Source organism: Homo sapiens, chromosome X (assembly GCF_000001405.40).
Source record: "Homo sapiens chromosome X, GRCh38.p14 Primary Assembly".
In the NCBI taxonomy this organism is placed as follows: domain Eukaryota; kingdom Metazoa; phylum Chordata; class Mammalia; order Primates; family Hominidae; genus Homo; species Homo sapiens.
The window spans coordinates 65,964,555-65,983,153 of NC_000023.11; the positions used below are offsets into that span (position 1 = coordinate 65,964,555).

Genomic DNA, 18,599 nt, shown 5'->3' on the forward strand with positions numbered 1-18,599 from the left:
GAGAAAGCAGGAAAGATCTAAAATTGACACCCTAACATCACAATGAAAAGAACTAGAGAAGCAAGAGCAAACACATTCAAAAGCTAGCAGAAGGCAAGAAATAACTAAGATCAGGGCAGAACTGAAAGAGATAGAGACACAAAAAACCCTTCAAAAAATCAATGAATCCAGGAGCTGGTTTTTTGAAAAGATCGACAAAATTGATAGACTGCTAGCAAGACTAATAAAGAAGAAAAGAGAGAAGAATCAAATAGATGCAATAAAAAATGATAAAAGGGAGATCACCACCTATCCCACAGAAATACAAACTACCATCAGAGAATACTATAAATACCTCTATGCAAATAAACTAGAAAATCTAGAAGAAATGGATAAATTCTTGAACACATACACCCTCCCAAGACTAAACCAGGAAGAAGTTGAATTCCTGAATAAACCAATAACAGGCTCTGAAATAGAGGCAATAATTAGTAGCCTACCAATCAAAAAAAGTCCAGGACCAGATGGATCCAAAGCCAAATTCTACGAGAGGTACAAGGAGGAGCTGGTACCATACCTTCTGAAACTATTCCAATCAATAGAAAAAGAGGGAATCCTCCCTAACTCATTTTATGAGGCCAGCATCACCCTGATACCAAAGCCTGGCAGAGACACAACAAAAAAAGAGAATTTTAGACCAATATCCCTGATGAACATCAATGCAAAAATCCTCAATAAAATACTGGCAAACCAAATCCAGCAGCACGTCAAAGAGCTTAACCACCATGATCAAGTGGGCTTCATCCCTGGGATGCAAGGCTGCTTCAACATATGCAAATCAATAAATGTAATCCAGCATATAAACAGAACCAACGACAAAAACCACATGATTATCTCAATAGATGCAGAAAAGGCCTTTGACAAAATTCAACAACACTTCATGCTAAAAACTCTCAATAAACTAGGTATTGATGGATGTATCTCAAAATAATAAGAGCTATTTATGACAAACCCACAGCCAATATCATACTGAATGGGCAAAAACTGGAAGCATTCCCTTTGAAAACTGGCACAAGACAGGGATGCCCATTCTCACCACTCCTATTCAACATAGTGTTGGAAGTTCTGGCCAGGGCAATCAGGCAGGAGAAAGAAATAAAGGGTATTCAATTAGGAAAAGAGGAAGTCAAATTGTCCCTGTTAGCAGATGACATGACTGTATATTTAGAAAACCCCATTGTCTTATCCCAAAATCTCCTTAAGCTGATAAGCAACTTCAGCAAAGTCTCAGGATACAAAATCAATGTGCGAAAGTCACAAGCATTCTTATACACCAATAACAGACAAACAGAGAGCCAAATCATGAGTGAACTCCCATTCACAATTGCTTCAAAGAGAATAAAATATCTAGGAATCCAACTGACAGGGGATGTGAAGGACCTCTTCAAGGAGAACTACAAACCATTGCTCAATGAATTAAAAGAGGACACAAACAAATGGAATAACATTCCATGCTCATGGACAGGAAGAATCAATATCGTGAAAATGGCCATACTGCCCAAGGTAATTTATAGATTCAATGCCATCCCCATCAAGCTACCAATGACTTTCTTCACAGAATTGGAAAAAACTACTTTAAAGTTCATAAGGAACCAAAAAAGAGCCTGCATTGCCAAGACTATCCTAAGCCAAAAGAACAAAGCTGGAGGCATCACACTACCTGACTTCAAATTATACTACAAGGCTACAGTAACCAAAACAGCATGGTACTGGTACCAAAACAGAGATATAGACCAATGGAACGGAACAGAGCCCTCAGAAATAATACCACACATCTACAACCATTTGATCGTTGACAAACCTGACAAAAACAAGAAATGGGGAAAGGATTCCCTATTTAATAAATGGTGCTGGGAAAACTGGCTAGCCATATGTAGAAAGCTGAAACTGGATCCCTTCCTTACACCTTATACAAAAATTAATTCAAGATGGATTAGCAACTTAAATGTTAGACCTAAAACCATAAAAATCCTAGAAGAAAACCTAGGCAATACCATTCAGGACATAGGCATAGGCAAGGACTTCATGTCTAAAACACTAAAAGCAATGGCAACAAAAGCCAAAATTGACAAATGGGATCTAATTAAACTAAAGAGCTTCTGCACAGCAAAAGAAACTACCATCAGAGTGAACAGGCAACCTACAGAATGGGAAAAAATTTTTGCAATCTACTCATCTGACAAAGGCCTAATATCCAGAATCTACAATGAACTCCAACAAATTCACACAAAAAAACAAACAACCCCATCAAATGTGGGCGAAGGATGTGAACAGACACTTCTCAAAAGGAGACATTTATGCAGCCAACAGACACATGAGAAAATGCTCATCATCACTGGCCATCAGAGAAATGTAAATCAAAACCAGAATGAGATACCATCTCACACCAGTTAGAATGGCAATCATTAAAAAGTCAGGAAACAACAGGTGCTGGAGAGGATGTGGAGAAATAGGAACACTTTTACACTGTTGGTGGGACTGTAAACTAGTTCAACCATTGTGGAAGACAGTGTGGCGATTCCTCAAGGATCTAGAACTAGAAATACCATTTGACCCAGCTATCCCATTACTGGCTATATACCCTAAGGATTATAAATCATGCTGCTATAAAGACACATGCACACGTATGTTTATTGAGGCACTATTCACAATAGCAAAGACTTGGAGCCAACCCAAATGTCCATCAATGATAGACTGGATGAAGAAAATGTGGCACATATACACCATGGAATACTATGCAGCCATAAAAAAGGATGAGTTCATGTCCTTTGTAGGGACATGGATGAAGCTGCAAACCACCATTCTCAGCAAACTATCACAAGGACAAAAATCCAAACACCATGGGTTCTCACTCATAGGTGGGAATCGAACAATGAGAACACTTGGACATAGGGTGGGGAATATCACACACCGGGGCCTGTTGTGGGGTGGGGGAGAGGGGAGTGATAGCATTAGGAGATACACCTAATGTAAATGACGAGTTAATGAGTGCAGCACACCAACATGGCACATGTACACGTATGTAACAAACCTGCACGTTGTGCACAAGTACCCTAGAAGTTAAAGTATATATATAAAAGAAAGGTTTTGTAGCCTGTATAAGGAATTCCAGGCAGGTGGGAGGGGCTTAAGATGGTGAGTGTCTATTGCTGTCTTTGAAATCATACTACACCTATATATAAGGCCACCCAAGTGTTAAACCAAGCTGAGATTTTAGGGTATAATAGGTTAGCTTTGTCATCAGATGGACTTAAGTTTGAGGGTAGACTCTGTTATATATCAATTATGTGACCTTAGGCAAGTCACTTAATTCTCTGAGTCTGTTTTCTTGTCTATAAAATTGAGATAATGCCACCATAACAAGGTTGTTATATGAAATAAATTTATTAGCCCAACAAATATTGAGTGTCTTCTCTGTGCCAGGCACTCTTCTAGATATTTGTTCCTCAAAGTGTGTTCTATGTACTAGCAACATTGGCATCACCTGGGAGCTTATGGGAAATGTGGAGTCTTAGTATACTTAGAATCTACATTTTAACAAGAAAATCAATTGACGTTAACATTTGAGAAGCACTCTTCTAGACAGGCCACATTTATTGAATATGAATGTGACCATTCCAAGAGAAAAAATAAAAACCTGTTTGAGGGCATGGACATTTTGGGTTTTGTCTCCTGAATCTGTGAAGTGGTAAAAAAATGATAGAGAACTCTGAAGAGCAGGGGCCACTATTTGAATGCCTGCCCAGGAAAGGAAGGATACGTTAGGCAGGGGCTGTGCCTCTAATACCTGCACCCAGCTCCAGCTGATTGTTGCAGTATGTGAATGCCAGCCCAGGACTGCCAGACCTTCTGATTTTTTCAAGAGAAGCTGGAAATGCAGAAGATCATGGAGAAGGGGATGTGCTTCACTCAGACAGATACCAAATTCTTTCACTCCTATCTAGAGACCTCTACTGTTGTGCTATCAATTTGTGGTCTAGGCTAGCAGCATCTGCATCATCTAGGAGCTGTTTGAAATGCTGAATCTCAGGCTGCATTCCAGACCTTCTGAATTAGAATCTGTATTTAAACAAGAGCTTGAGGTTGTTTGTATGCACAATAAACTCTGAGAAGCACTGCTTAGGTGCGGGGGATACAGTAGTGAACAAGGCAGCCAAGGCCTCTCTTTCTCACAGAGCTTACATTGTAGTGGAAAGAGACAATACAATAGACCTGTAATCTGATAAACAAGACAATTTTAGATGGTGATAAGTACTGTGAAGAAAATAAAATGCGCAGGATGGCTTCTTCACTCACATGGATGGTGCTTAAGCTGGGCCCACAGATGAACTAGGAGAACCTAAACTGGGATGGCTAGATACTCTGGAAACTCGCTGGACATCTCTCTCTTCATGTGACTTCTCTACATGGGTAGCATGGGCTTCTTCATAGCATGATGTTCTTAGGGTAGTCACACTTGTTACAAAGTGGTTGGCTTTCCTCAGGACAAGCATTTCAAGAGACCAATGAGGAAACTCATTAGTCCAACAGAAAATGAAGGCCTACTCTGTGCCAGGCACTGTTCCCAGGTTCTTGTTACAAGTGCTCTTCTGATTTAGCCTCTGAAGCTTTACAGCATTACTTCTGCCACTTTCTACTGGTTAAAAGGGAGTTAGAGGACCAGCTCAGATTCAAGAATATAAACTACATAAGGATGTGAATAATGGTGGTATGATTCCTTGGGGAGTCTCACCTTTGAAGACTAGCTACCAGAGGAAGTAATATTTGAGCTGAGACCTGAATGGTGCAAAGGAGCCAACAATACCAGGTTCTGGGCAAAAAGCACTGCAGATAGAAAAAGCAGGCTGCTAAGGCCCTGAGATAGGAGCAAGGTTGAAATATTCAAGAGACATAAGGAGGACAATGTTGTTAAAGCATAGCGTGTAAAGGGAAGAGTCATAGAACACGAAACTGGAGAGGTAAGCAGAAGCCACATTATAAGTGAGGAGTTTGGATTTTACTCTAATCACAATGGGAAAGAATTGGAACATTTAAAGCAGGGAAGCAATGTGGCCTATCTTCTACATTAAAAGAGACCTACAACATTCTGTAAGCCAGTTGTCCTGGAGTCTTCAAAAATATCAGTTGTGAAAAACAAAAAAGGGTGTGTGTGGGGACATTCTAGATTTAAAAGGACTGAAGAGACATGACACAAAATTTATAGACATCAATGGGTTTCCAGATAGAGAACAAAGAGTAAATCTAAAAAGCAAATTTTTTAAACAACTGAGGAAATTAGAAGGTAGAATGCATATTAGTTAACATTGAATCAACACTTACTTTTTAAAGTTTGATAATACCACTGTGATTATATAGGAGACTATTCATGTTTTGGAGATACAGGCTGAAGTGTCCGTGAGTGAAATTTTATGATGTCTGCAATTAACTCTTTAAATGGTTTAACAACAATCGTGTGTGTGTGTGTGTGTGTGTAGATAGATGGATGGAAAAGAAGTATTCATTGCACTTTCTTTTTAGAATGTGTGCTATTTTTTCAACTTATCTGTAAGCTTGAAGATTTCCAGAATTAAAATCTGGGAAGTGAAGGGGAAGGACCTGTAAATTGCATTCTACAGTGTTTGGTATATGATAGATGGTCAATAAATACTGTTGAGGAGGAAGTCTGCCAGGCAGATCTGGTTGTGGGTGACACTGTACTGCAGAAGAGCATAATCGGACATTTTATAAAGAATAAATAGCTATATGCTTTATAGCTATTTTAGGAAAGTTAACAACTCTTAACATTATTTTCTTCATCTGTAGAGTGAGAGTGTTAACCCCCATATTTCCTTCAGGGTAGTTGAGAAGCTCAGTTTGAAAAGTAGTAAGTCCTTTCTAGGCATAAAGTATGGAAGTCTCACATGCTGAGCACACAAATATTATCATCTATTTAATGAGTGCTACTCTATGCCTGTGCATCAAAGTGAGGTAGCTTTGTCTCCTGGGTTAGCAGGAGAAATTAACAAAATGTAGGGAGCTTAAAATTCTAGAGGTTGATGCTAATACAGTAGAGGCGTCCACTACTCCCTCCTTCAACTACAAAAGGTGTTAAGAGTTTGAATTTTCCTTGATGGATGGTAGGAGCACCATAAGGCTGGGCTCCAAGGGCAACTAAGTTCAATTATTTTGAATCTTCACAAGTCAATCACTCTGCTCCTACTTGAACAACACCAGGTTTGGAGAATTCATTTTCTTTCAAGGCAGCCTGTTCTTCATTCAGGGGACTCCGATTTTAGAAAGTTCTACATTATACTGAACTGGAATTTGCTTTCAGGTCTGCTCCACCTGATCCCTTCATAACTCTGAAGACAGAAACCCATTCTCCTGTGGCTTCTTGGATTCAAGATAAATAGTCCCTCTCCTCAGACCCTTTTACCTGAGACCTGGATTCCAGCCTCCAGTTTAGATTCTAGGTATTTCTCAGAATTCAGATGCACAGAGCCAGACCCAATCCTCTGATGCTTCCAATACCCATGACTGAGGAAGTAGTACATCAACTGTTTTTCTTGTGGAGTCCAAGACCTAACTTGGGTAGAAAAAGTGACTCTGAAACCAGAGAGCGGCATGCCTATATTATGTGCCTTTTGCCTGCCTCCTTCCCTCAGGACCAGCCTCTGGAAACAGAAAGTGGTGGCGGCATCGTGCATGCGTCTGTCGCAGAGCCCCGAATGTGCCACGGCATCACCCCCTCGCCCAGCAGCGCTTCCTGGTTAGGTCCTAGGGGCCCTGAGGCTTCTGCCGGGCTGCAGTCTCTTTCTTGTCTGCGGGGCGGACGGCAGGGGCTGTCCCTGAGCACCAGCGACCAGCCGCAGAGTGCTATGCCTCTAGGGTGGGCTCACCCATGGTAGGTGAATCCCCAACTCTTCCTCCCCACTGAGTCCTGTTAGCTTAGCGCCTCTCCTTCCTCTTGTATTGTTCTTGTTAAAAAGAGGAGGAGGAGAGATAGGGAAGCAACTCTGCTTTCTCACCCTGGCTCAGAATACCCTGGTTAAAATGGGAAGAGGGTGCAGGAAGCAGCTCTAAGTTAGGGAGAAACAATTATACATTTGCTTCTGTACTTTCTCTGCTTGAGTTGTGCTACCAGTCACAAACATTTAGGGAGCACATAAAACAAGAGAGAGATAAGGAAGACTTCATTTATTTTTTCAAACATTTCACAGCAAAGGATAGCGGGACTGAGGGAATAACAGATATGCACACTAATCAATTAGAATACAGTATAATCAATCTTCTTAAAGATGGATGAACTGCCATTTAGGAGGAGGCAGCTAATTTACGCTGGGAAAGTTGGGGAAGATTTAACACTTAATATGATATTCGCAGTGGGTTTTTTAAATTGAGCTTGCTAAGCACAGAAGTAGGGATACAACATGCTGGTATACTGAGGGAACAAACATCATGTGCAAAGAGACAGGTGAATGAAAGGAGATAGCAAATTGATAGTAATTTGTAATTGCTTCAGGTTAGGGCATGTATCCAAGGGAAGAGGCATCAGGATATAAAGAGTAAGAAGAGAAAGGAAGTTTGGGATCTAGTTTTGATGCTACACTGAGAAGTTGGTCTCACCCTGTTGATTGGGAATTGTTAAATTTTTATCAGAAAAGTGACATGAACAGAAATGTAGAGGATTAATAGGAAGTTGAAATTGTGAAAGGAAATTTTGTTAAAAATTAAAGAAAAAAAGAAATAAGTACATAAATGATAAATACATGAAAACAGATAAATGAGAAGAGTAGAGACTGTCTGTCTAAAGAACTAAATTATAGTCCCAGATTGCTTTGGTTGCTCTAATCCCTGGCTGTGTAGACCCTGAGCAGGTGGTAGAAGTGGGTTCTTTGATTCAGACAACCAAAACATATTGAGAAACTATTATATACCTGGGAACATGCTGTGCAATTTTACATACATTATATTTTTCCATTTGGTTTCTGAATATCAGATTTGATTGTTCCCCTATACCAGGTTACTAGTCATCTCTCTTCTGCGTCTCTTGCCCCAACCTGGATGTAGGAACAAAAGTACTAGACCAAGAATCAGAAGGCCAATGATCTAGTCCCAGTTATTAATCTAATCTGCTATGTGACCCTGGGCAATCCCTTTTCCCCTCTTTTGGCTCCACTTTTCCTCATCAGTACAAAAAAGGGCTTGGATTAGTCTCCAAGGACACTTCCCACCCTGTTATACAATTTCCTGAAAAAGGGATACAGATGCAGTGAATGCTACATAGATTATAAGCAGGAGAATAACCCTATTGGCTGGGATGGTCAAGAAAGACATCTTGAAGGAGGTAAAACATGAACAGGACCTGGTAGAAAGCTAGGTGTGTCTTTCATAGATTATTTTCCAATTCCTAGAGCTGAAGGGCAGGGACACTTATAATAACAGTATACTGTCATGGCAAAAACATAGATTTGGAGTTGGGCCTGGAGAGAAATACTGGCTCTGCCACTATTATGTGACTTTTCAGATTATTTTCTATAAAAGCAGTATAGTAATAATAACTCCTTGAGAGGGTTTCTGAGAGTAAATTTATAAATGGTGGTACTTAACCTATCACCTAGAGTAGATGCCCAAATGCGGTTTTTCTCTTCCTTGCTCCTTTCCTGAGCTTCTCTGCTCCATGGTTTATGCTGATACAGGGGGCACCTAGCAAGCTGTCTGTCAATGCTGGTTTGTTCGTAATTCAGTTTGATTGCTGAGTCTGCAGTCAAGCCTCTGGAGGTACCTAAAATGTTTTTGAACTGGTAAGTGGTTGTGTGGTTCAGAGTGTAAATGTCCTCCCAGTACCATAACATTAATTCATCAAATTAATCAATTCATCACATAAACAAATTCCCTGCTGTTGCTCATGGCTTAGCAGAGACTGGGAGTTCTTGCTAGCAGGAGAAAGATGATCATAACAACTAATTGAAATTCATATAACCTGGAACCGAAAGTACGACCCTTTGTGATATTTTTTTAAATAATGGCAGCAATTTCATACAACTATAACATCCCATTGAGAAGGGGATATGACCCTGTGGCCATGTTTTGCTCCCCGAGCTACTGGATTCAAAAGGAGTTGTGCTGGAAAAAAACAAATAGCAACAGCAATAATTACACAGGTAGGTTTTCTACTCTTTGAGTATAAATAGTTGTAGGGCTGAAGTCATGTTGCACTCTGGAGGACATGAGGGATTGTGGGAGAAATTCCGTGAAACATAGGTGTCCCCACCCAACCATATATGTACATAGTCCCCGTCTCCACCTCAACAGAGAGACATGTATGTATGCACATATGTACTGCCCTATTTCAAAGAAATAGATGTGCACATAGATGTAGATGACAGAAAGCAGGGACTTTGCCACTGCACAAGAGAGGGAAGCTGATTGGCCGAAACGTCCCGATCCTGGTGCCAATGTGCAACTGTCATCTGATTCTTTTCATTCCTATCTCTGATCCAGAACAGAAGATAAACCTGGAAGGGTCTCTAAGTGGTTGACTGCAAGCATCTCATTGTACATATGGGGCAACTGGAGTCCAGAGAGGGAAAAGGATTTGCCTAAGGAAACAGAGAATCAGTGGCAGGGCCGAGACAGGAAGAATCCAAACCCTGACTACAATATGTAGCCCAACAGTGTTTCCTAAATTGTTGTACCAGCACCACTGGTCTGTGATAAGCAAGACAATTTTAGGTGGTACATAGATGACTTTTTAATTTTGATAGTTATGTATATCTATTTGTAATGTATTTAGAAAAACTCACTAGCAGATCAGAGCAATGATTTCATGGATAGTATTGTTTAAGATATGGTAGAAATCATGAAGGTAGTATACTAATAGTTGTGGTTGGTGAAACACTGTGGTGGTATAAAGGGTCTTGGGGCCAGCAAAGCCTGGGTTTGAACCTAACTCAGATGCTTCCTACTATCATGGATTCTTGGTCAAGTTTTCTTCTCTCTCTAAGCTTCCGATTCCTCATCTATAAAATAGAGATACTCATAGCTACCTCTAAGGTAACTGTGAGGATTAAGAATAAGCATGTACAAATACCTACTAAAGTTAAATATCTTTTTTTATTTTTTATTTTTATTTTTATTTTTTTTAGTATTTATTGATCATTCTTGGGTGTTCTCGGAGAGGGGGATTTGGCAGGGTCATAGGACAATAGTGGAGGGAAGGTCAGCAGATAAACATGTGAACAAGGGTCTCTGGTTTTCCTAGGCAGAGGACCCTGCGGCCTTCCCCAGTGTTTGTGTCCCTGGGTACTTGAGATTAGGGAGTTGTGATGACTCTTAACGAGCATGCTGCCTTCAAGCATCTGTTTAACAAAGCACATCTTGCACCGCCCTTAATCTATTTAACCCTGAGTGGACACAGCACATGTTTCAGAGAGCACGGGGTTGGGGGTAAGGTTATAGATTAACAGCATCCCAAGGCAGAAGAATTTTTCCCAGCACAGAACAAAATGGACTCTCCTATGTCTAGTTCTTTCTACACAGACACAGTAACAATCTGATTTCTCTTTCTTTTCCCCACATTTCCCCCTTTTCTATTCGACAAAACCACCATCGTCATCATGGCCTGTTCTCAATGAGCTGTTGGGTACACCTCACCTCCCAGACGGGGTGGCGGCGGGGCAGAGGGGCTCCTCACTTCCCAGACGGGGTGGCTGGGCAGAGGTGCCCCCCACCTCCCGGACGGGGCAGCGGCCGGGCGGGGGCTGCCCCCCACCTCCCTCCCGGATGGGTTGGCTGGCCGGGCGGGGTCTGCCCCCCACCTCCCTGATGGGGCGGCTGCCGGGCGGAGGGGCTCCTCACTTCCCAGACGGGGCGGCTGCCGGGCGGAGGGACTCCTCACTTCTCAGATGGGGCGGCTGGGCAGAGACGCTCCTCACCTCCCAGATGGGGCGGCTGTCGGGCAGAGACACTCTTCAGTTCCCAGACAGGGTCGCCACCAGGCAGAGGCGCTCCTCACATCCCAGACGATGGGCGGCCGGGCTGAGACGCTCCTCACTTCCCAGACGGGGTGGCGGCCAGGCAGAGGCTGCAATCTCGGCACTTTGGGAGGCCAAGGCAGGCGGCTGGGAGGTGGAGGTTGTGGCGAGCCGAGATCACGCCATTGCACTCCAGCCTGGGCAACATTGAGCACTGAGTGAGTGAGACTCCGTCTGCAATCCCAGCACCTCGGGAGGCCGAGGCGGGCAGATCACTCGCGGTCAGGAGCTGGAGACCAGCCTGGCCAACACAGCAAAACCCCGTCTCCACCAAAAAATACAAAAAACAGTCAGGCGTGGTGGTATGCGCCTGCAATCCCAGGCACTCGGCAGGCTGAGGCAGGAGAATCAGGCAGGGAGGTTGCAGTGAGCCGAGATGGCGGCAGTACAGTCCAGCCTCAGCTGGGCATCAGAGGGAGACCGTGGAGAGAGAGGGAGAGGGAGAGGGAGACCGTGGAGAGGGAGAGGGAGAGGGACAGGGAGAGGGAGAGGGAGAGGGAGAGGGAGATAAAGCTAAATATACATGCTATCTATGACCCAGAGATCCCCAGGAGTAGTCCTGGGGATGCACTCAATTCAAGTGAGTGTTTATAGCTCCATTGATAATACATTTTCAATAGGCAGCAGGAAAGTGAGGTCCTCAGTCAGCAGCCTGCATGTAACTGAATGTTGCTATTAACTACATGAGTTTGGAAGTGGATATTTTCCTGTTCCCAGTTGAGACCACAGCCCTTGCCAATATCTTGATTTCAGCTTTATATCCTGAAGCAGAAGACCCAGCCAAGCCATGAACAGACTCCTGACCCACAGAAACTATGAGATAATAGATGTCTGTTATTTTAATGTGCTAAGTTTCTGGTAATATTGTTACACAGAAATAGATGACTAATAAAATGGAACAATATAAATGGATTTCAAAAACATGCTTAGTGAAAGAGACCAGACCCAAAAGTACACATATTGTGTGATTACATTTATATGAAGTTCAGGCATTATATATTTATACATTATATGAACAACAGGCAAAACTAATCCAAAGTGATAAAACTCAGAAAAAGGATTACCTCTAGGAAGTTATCAAATGGAAGGGGCATTAAGGGAGCATCTGGGAACGATGGAAATATTCTATATCTTGACCTGGATGTTGACCCCCAGGTGTATATTTTAATCAAAACTCATCAAATGTACAGTTGAAATTAATGCAATTTACTTACCATATAGGTATTTTAGAACTTCAGAAGAAAATAAACAAAATGCCCTTTTTAGGGGTTGGAATTCAAACAAAAATGCAAGCATAGTCTTTAAGTGGTAAGCAAAATATGGGCTTTTTTTTTAAATTAAAAACACGTTATTGCTAAAAATGCTAACAATCATCAGAGCCTTCAGCAAGTTATAATCTTTTTGCAGTGGAGGGCCTTGCCTCGATGTTTTTAGGTTCAGGAGTACATATACAGATGTGTTATATAGGTAAACTTGTGTCTTGGGGGTTTGTTGTACAGATTATTTTATCACCTAGGTATTAAGCCTAGTATCCATTAGTTATTTTTCCTGATACTCTCCCTCCTCCCACCCTCCAACCTCTAATAGGTCCCAGTGTGTGTTGTTTCCCTCTATGTGTCCATGTGTTCTCATCATTTATCTTCCACTTGTAAATGAGAATATGCAGTATTGAGTATTTGGTTTTCTGTTCCTGTATTAGTTTGCTAAGGATAATGACCTCCAGCTCCATCCATGTCCCGGAAAAGGACACAATCTTGTTCTTTTTTAAGGCTGCATAGTATTCCATGGTGTATATGTACCACTTTTTTTTTTAATCCACTCTACCATTGATGGGCATTTAGGTTGATTCCATGTCTTTGCTACTGTGAATAGTGTGGCAACAAACATAAGCATGCATGAGTTTTTATAATAGAATGATTTATATTTCTTTGGGTATATACCCAGTAATGAGATTGCTGGGTCGAGTGGTATGTCTGTCTTTAGGTCTTTAAGGAATTGCTACACTGTCTTCCACGATGGCTGAACTAATTTACATTCCCACCAACAGTGTATAAGCCTTCCTTTTTCTCTGTAACCTCACCAGCATCTGTTATTTTTTGACTTTTTAGTAGCCATTCTGACGGGTGTAAGATGGTATCTCATTGTGATTTTGATTTGCATTTCTCTAACGGTCAGTGATGTTGAGCTGTTTTCATATGGTTGATGGCTGTATGTATGTCTTCTGAGAAGTGTGTTCATGTACTTTGCCCATTTTTTAATGGGATTGTTTGCTTTTTTGCTTGTAAATCTGTTTAAGTTCCTTATAGATGCTGGATATTAGAACTTTGTCAGATGAATATTTTGCAAAAATTTTCTTCCATGCTGTATGTTGTTTGTTTATTGATAGTTTTTTTTTCTGTGCAGAAGCTCTTTAGTTTAATTAGATTCCATTTGTCAATTTTTGCTTTTCTTACAATTGCTTTTGGCATCTTCATCATGAAATCTTTGCCTGTGTCTATGTCCTGAATGATATAGCCTAGGTTGTCTCCCAGGGTTTTCATAGTTTTTGGTTTTACATTTAAGTCTTTAATCCATTTCGAGTTAATTTTTATGTATGGTATAAGGAAGGGGTCCAGTTTCAATCTTCTGCATATGGCTAGCCAGTTATCAAAGCATCATTTATTGAATAGGGAATCCTTTCTCTATTGATTGTTTTTGTCAGGTTTGTCGAAGATCAGATGGCTGTAGGTGTGTGATTTTATTTCTGGTTTCTCTATTCTGCTCCATTGGTCTATGTGTCTATTTTTGTGCCAGTATGCTGTTTTGGTTATTGTAGCCCTGTAGTATACTTTGAAGTCGGGTAGAGCGATGCCTCCAGTTTTGTTCTTTTTGCTTAGGATTGTCTCAGCTATTTGGTTTCTTTTTTTGTTCCATAAGAATTTTAAAATAGTTTTTTCTAGTTCTGTGAAGAATCTCAATGGTAGTTTAATAGGAATAGCATTGGGTGTATAAATGTGTTTGGGCAGTATGGCCATTTTAATGATATTGGTTCTGTCTACCCATGCGCAAGGAATGTTTTTCCATTTGTTTGTGTCATCTCTGATTTCTTTGAGCAGTGATTTGTAGCTCTCCTTGTAGAGATCTTTCACCTCCATTGTAAGCTGTATTTCTAGATATTTTATTCTTTTTGTGGCAATTGTGAATGGGAGATCATTCCTGATTTGGCTCTCAGCTTGACTGTTGTTGGTGAAAATATGGGCTTTTGATATGTGCCCTGGTCTCTCCTTGCCCAGGGCTCATTCTACCACTTCGAGCTGTTTTCTATCTCTTCCTGAAATGTCTAAGGGGTAGTGGGATAGATGGGGTAATCTATGGAGAATTAATCTGGAGAGGCCTTATTATTTTTGGTTGGAGTTTCAGGCCACTCACGGGTGTTTCATCCATCCTGCCCTTTTGTTTACAGCTCTGAAAACCACCTGTACTCTCACTCTGGGTAATGAGTGGCTGAAAGATGTGCTAAACACAGCAAGGTGAAATATCTAAAGTTGAAAAATCTCAGACCACTGGAGCCAAGTATATCAACCTTCCACACCATTCACCCTGGCTGGCCTCACACTCAGCCACATATGGAAGCAGACGCCTGACACCACACACACACACACACACACACACACACAGTTGCCCAGCCAAATTCCTTTGGATTTTGATATAAATCAACAGGATAAATATTTCCTTTTGGACTTGCTTGATGCTCAACTCTGTATAAGGATCAGTGGGGGACTTCAAACCTCACTTTTGTCACACTGACCTTTAAGCATGGTTGGTAAAATCTTTTGAGATAATAGTTGGGGAAACACCTGAAAAACTGGGATATGAGATAGAAAGACATGTGAGCAGCAAATCCTTGTGCATATTAAGTGCTTGAGTAAGGTTTTTACAAACCAAAAGAATTGAGAACTGGTGTCCCTGCCAGTTTTTTTGTGAAGTACCTGGTAATGATGCCTCCCTGTTTCTGTTCTGCCAGCTTCTGAGTATAAATCCAGCTGAGGTTCAAGCCAACATTTAAGTTAATTCCTCCACAGTGATATCGTCCAGCTGTTAAATTACCTCCAGTCTTAGAGTCCTTCAAATTCTCAAGACACTGTGAAACAGAGACAAGCCATCTCCACTGTACCCTATTCCAATTCTTTGCCCACAGAAACCATGAGCATGATAAAATGGTTGCTTTATATCTCTCTAGTTTTGAGGTGGTTTGTTAAGCGGCAATAGATAAATACCTTCTCCACTAACCTGAGGGATCCTTGTATTCAGTGACTGTCATCTCTGTAACTTTGATGCCTAGTGAAAGGCCTGGCATGCATTCATAGTCGGTAATGTTTGATGAACTAATTTGGATTGAAATGGTTTTTGGATGGATAAATGAATGGAAGAGATAATGAATGAAGAAAACCATGCCAAGGGAGTGGTGAGCAGCAAAGCATAAGTGAAGCTGGTGATAGGAAGAGGCAGGACATAAGAGAGGTAATTGGAAGTGTCCAGTCTCCCAGGGAAAGACACACTTGAGAAATAGAGGAAGGGTCAGATTGCCACAATAATTAAATGGTGCTGGATTAGGTTTTGGGCAAGCACTTATGATAGGTTAGAGTAATAAGGATGCATCGCGCATCCTACTAGAACCAGCAAACTTCAAGCCAAAAAATTCTGAAAGGGCTTAGATGTCTCTGTGTAGTGTTGGGGCAAGAGGCTGGTCCTTATTTACTGAGACCTACACGGAGACTCAGATGGAAGCTCATCTGGGTACCAGACAGGGCTCAGGCAACAAAGCAGATTCAAAGAGAGGCTCATATTATCTCAGTGAGATGCTAATAGAAATTGTGTGCTGCCTCTCACACAACTCTGCTCTTCTTGCTATACAAAGATGATGTTATATATGATTTTACCTCTGTGTGTCTCATCATGATCCCCCCAATCCAACTCCACCACCACTGTTGTAGTTCAGATTTTTATCTTCTCTCACCTAGCCTATTGTTATAGGAACTGCATTTTCCTAATTGAAAATCTACCTAGCCACAGAATCTGACATGGAGACTAACACTTGAACTGAAATAAAAACAAACAGAACATATAAAATTAGGATTGCTTTGGAAAATTCAGACTAAACGAGGACCTTCATTGTTTATATAAATCCTTAGCCAACACAGTATCCACCTTTCATTTATTTATTTGAACACTCATTTATTCATTTCTTCAACATAGACTTATTGATCATCTATTAACTTTCATGAACTGTGGTAGGAACTGGATGGAGAAAGAATGAAGAAATAAAAAAGAAAAAAGTTATAGGATCTAAGGAACTGATAATTTCTCAGTGAGCATACACATTTAAACAAATTGTCTTTATTGACTTTTTAGTCTTTGGTGAGTTATCTAAATGCAGTTAACCAATAGATATTTGGAAATAGAGAAGAGACTCTGGAGTGATACAAAGCTAAAGGAAGAGACATGGGACTCCTTTGAAAATAAGTAAAAACTAATACAATAGGAATAATGGGAGGGCCAGGAAATAGGTTTAGAGAAAAGATGGGGGCCAAGGAGAGAACTTTGAGATGTGCCTACGTTTTCAAAAAGGGAATGCACCAGTAAAAGATAAAAGGTGCAGTCAGAAAAATTGGTGAATGACAGGGAAATGAACATTTATTGAGAGTCTATCACTTACTTGGGATTTTGTCCTTTTTTTTTTTAACTAACCCTATGCAACAGGGCTTTATCTGCCCCATTTTATACATGAGGAAACTGAAGTTCAGAGAGCCTAAATGACTTGCCTGACATCACAGGATAAACAGTAGGGATTTCATACCCCTACGTCCATTCTTAGAACTTATCTAATTTTTAGCCTGCTGTTAGAAGGAAGCTCACCTGTCTGGGTTCAAGACCTTGATAAGATATCCCAAAAACTCCATTAATTTGCTATCATACTCATTTCATTCTCTCTGACTTCCTTGGCCCAAGCACTAAGAGGTGTATGATTCAGGCATACTTATCCATGGTGCTAGTGAAATAACAGATTTAGGACGTGAATTTTATCCGGGGACCATAAGATCTTATTTTGTTTTTGAAAATGACCCTAGAAACTGTCTTTCAGATCACCACACATATAATTATGTGTGTGTGTGTGTGTTTGTGTGTGTGTGTGTGTGTCTACATTTGTTTATTGTGGGAGAAGTCAAGGAAGTCACCAAGATGGTCACCTGCACCAGATAAACATGGAATTCTGGAAGAAGAAAGAGAGAAACAGGAGAAATGTGCTAGAATAAGGGATCTTCAGATTCACAAGTGTTTCCTTTCCCAGAAGGCTTGGGGAATAAGCAAGAATGTTGAACAGCATTTGGTGTCATGGAAGGAGCAATCAATTTGGAATCAGAACTCAAATGTTCCTATCTTCTCTGTAACAAACGAGTGAACTGGGGTACATCTTGTCACTACTCTGAACTTCAATTTTCTCCCTATAAAATGGGGAAGAACAACTGATTTCCAAAGTTCCATATGAGGAAGAACCTGTTTAAAAATTTTGCTCACAATTGTATGGGATCCAGGTTCAGGGAACGTAGGGAATTTTTATCTTGGCTAGAATAACTCAGTCTCTGGTGCTCTTGTTAAACTGTGATGAGAATTTGGCTTAGATTTGCTTAAAAAACAAAAACATATCTGTCAGTTCAAGCCCTTGTATAGTATTTCACAGCCCCAATCGTCTCTATCCCTGCTCTTCCAAACAGCTCCATTTCTACTCCAAACCAATGTCTTAACATCGAGGCCTGGTAGTTTCTGGTACCCAGCTGCTTTTCCTCTGCCCAGCTCAGCCTCAATGCCCTCTGATCTCAGAGCTTCTGAAAGATGGCCTTTCAACTTCCACAAAGAAAACCACTGTCTGGAAATTATTATATATGTTTTATTTTCTTCTTTCTTTTACCCTTTGACAGCAGTAGGGAAGAAGGGGAAGAGACAAATGGAGGGAGTGGAGAAACTTTTCTCTGGGTAGTTACAAATTGCTTAGAGGTTTCAGAGAAGCTCATTGGTTATTATTCTTGTTGCTAAGACAAACGTTCCAGGCTATGAAAAGACTTATGCAAAAGCATACATGTTGGAGATGAAGATTAAACAACAAATGATGTCAGATGGAGGCCTGTTTATTCTCTAAAGTGAAGAATAATCACTTGTTAGCTAATGCAAGGCATGATGTCTTGATTACAGAGAATGTATTCAATTCTCACCAAATATCTTATGAGTTTAGGCCCAGGTCTGGCTCCAGATCTATGATCATGGACCAGTCACTTTTCCTCTTTGAGTCTCAGTCTCCTCAGGTATACAGTGAGATCTGGATCTTCCTTAGTGTTCCTTTTCAAACCAACATGCCAGAGACATATGTCAGATCTCTACTGTTAGAAGTCTCAGCCACAATGAAGACTGTTGACAGTTTTGAGATATGAGATGTAGAGGAGTTAAAAGAACATGGAACTTTAAGTACCTGGTCTTAGTTCTTACAATAGAAACTGGGTGACTGCAATTGCT

At 40.9% G+C, this 18,599-nt stretch overlaps 2 annotated features.

Moving 5' to 3' along the window:
* Positions 6,271 to 6,772: an enhancer, noted in NCBI's record as "H3K4me1 hESC enhancer chrX:65190667-65191168 (GRCh37/hg19 assembly coordinates)". NCBI's record gives its function as "activates a minimal SCP1, AML or CMV promoter by ChIP-STARR-seq in naive H9 embryonic stem cells {active_cell/tissue: H9 hESC(naive)}" and the evidence as "EXISTENCE:reporter gene assay evidence [ECO:0000049][PMID:30033119]".
* Positions 6,773 to 7,272: an enhancer, noted in NCBI's record as "H3K4me1 hESC enhancer chrX:65191169-65191668 (GRCh37/hg19 assembly coordinates)". NCBI's record gives its function as "activates a minimal SCP1, AML or CMV promoter by ChIP-STARR-seq in naive H9 embryonic stem cells {active_cell/tissue: H9 hESC(naive)}" and the evidence as "EXISTENCE:reporter gene assay evidence [ECO:0000049][PMID:30033119]".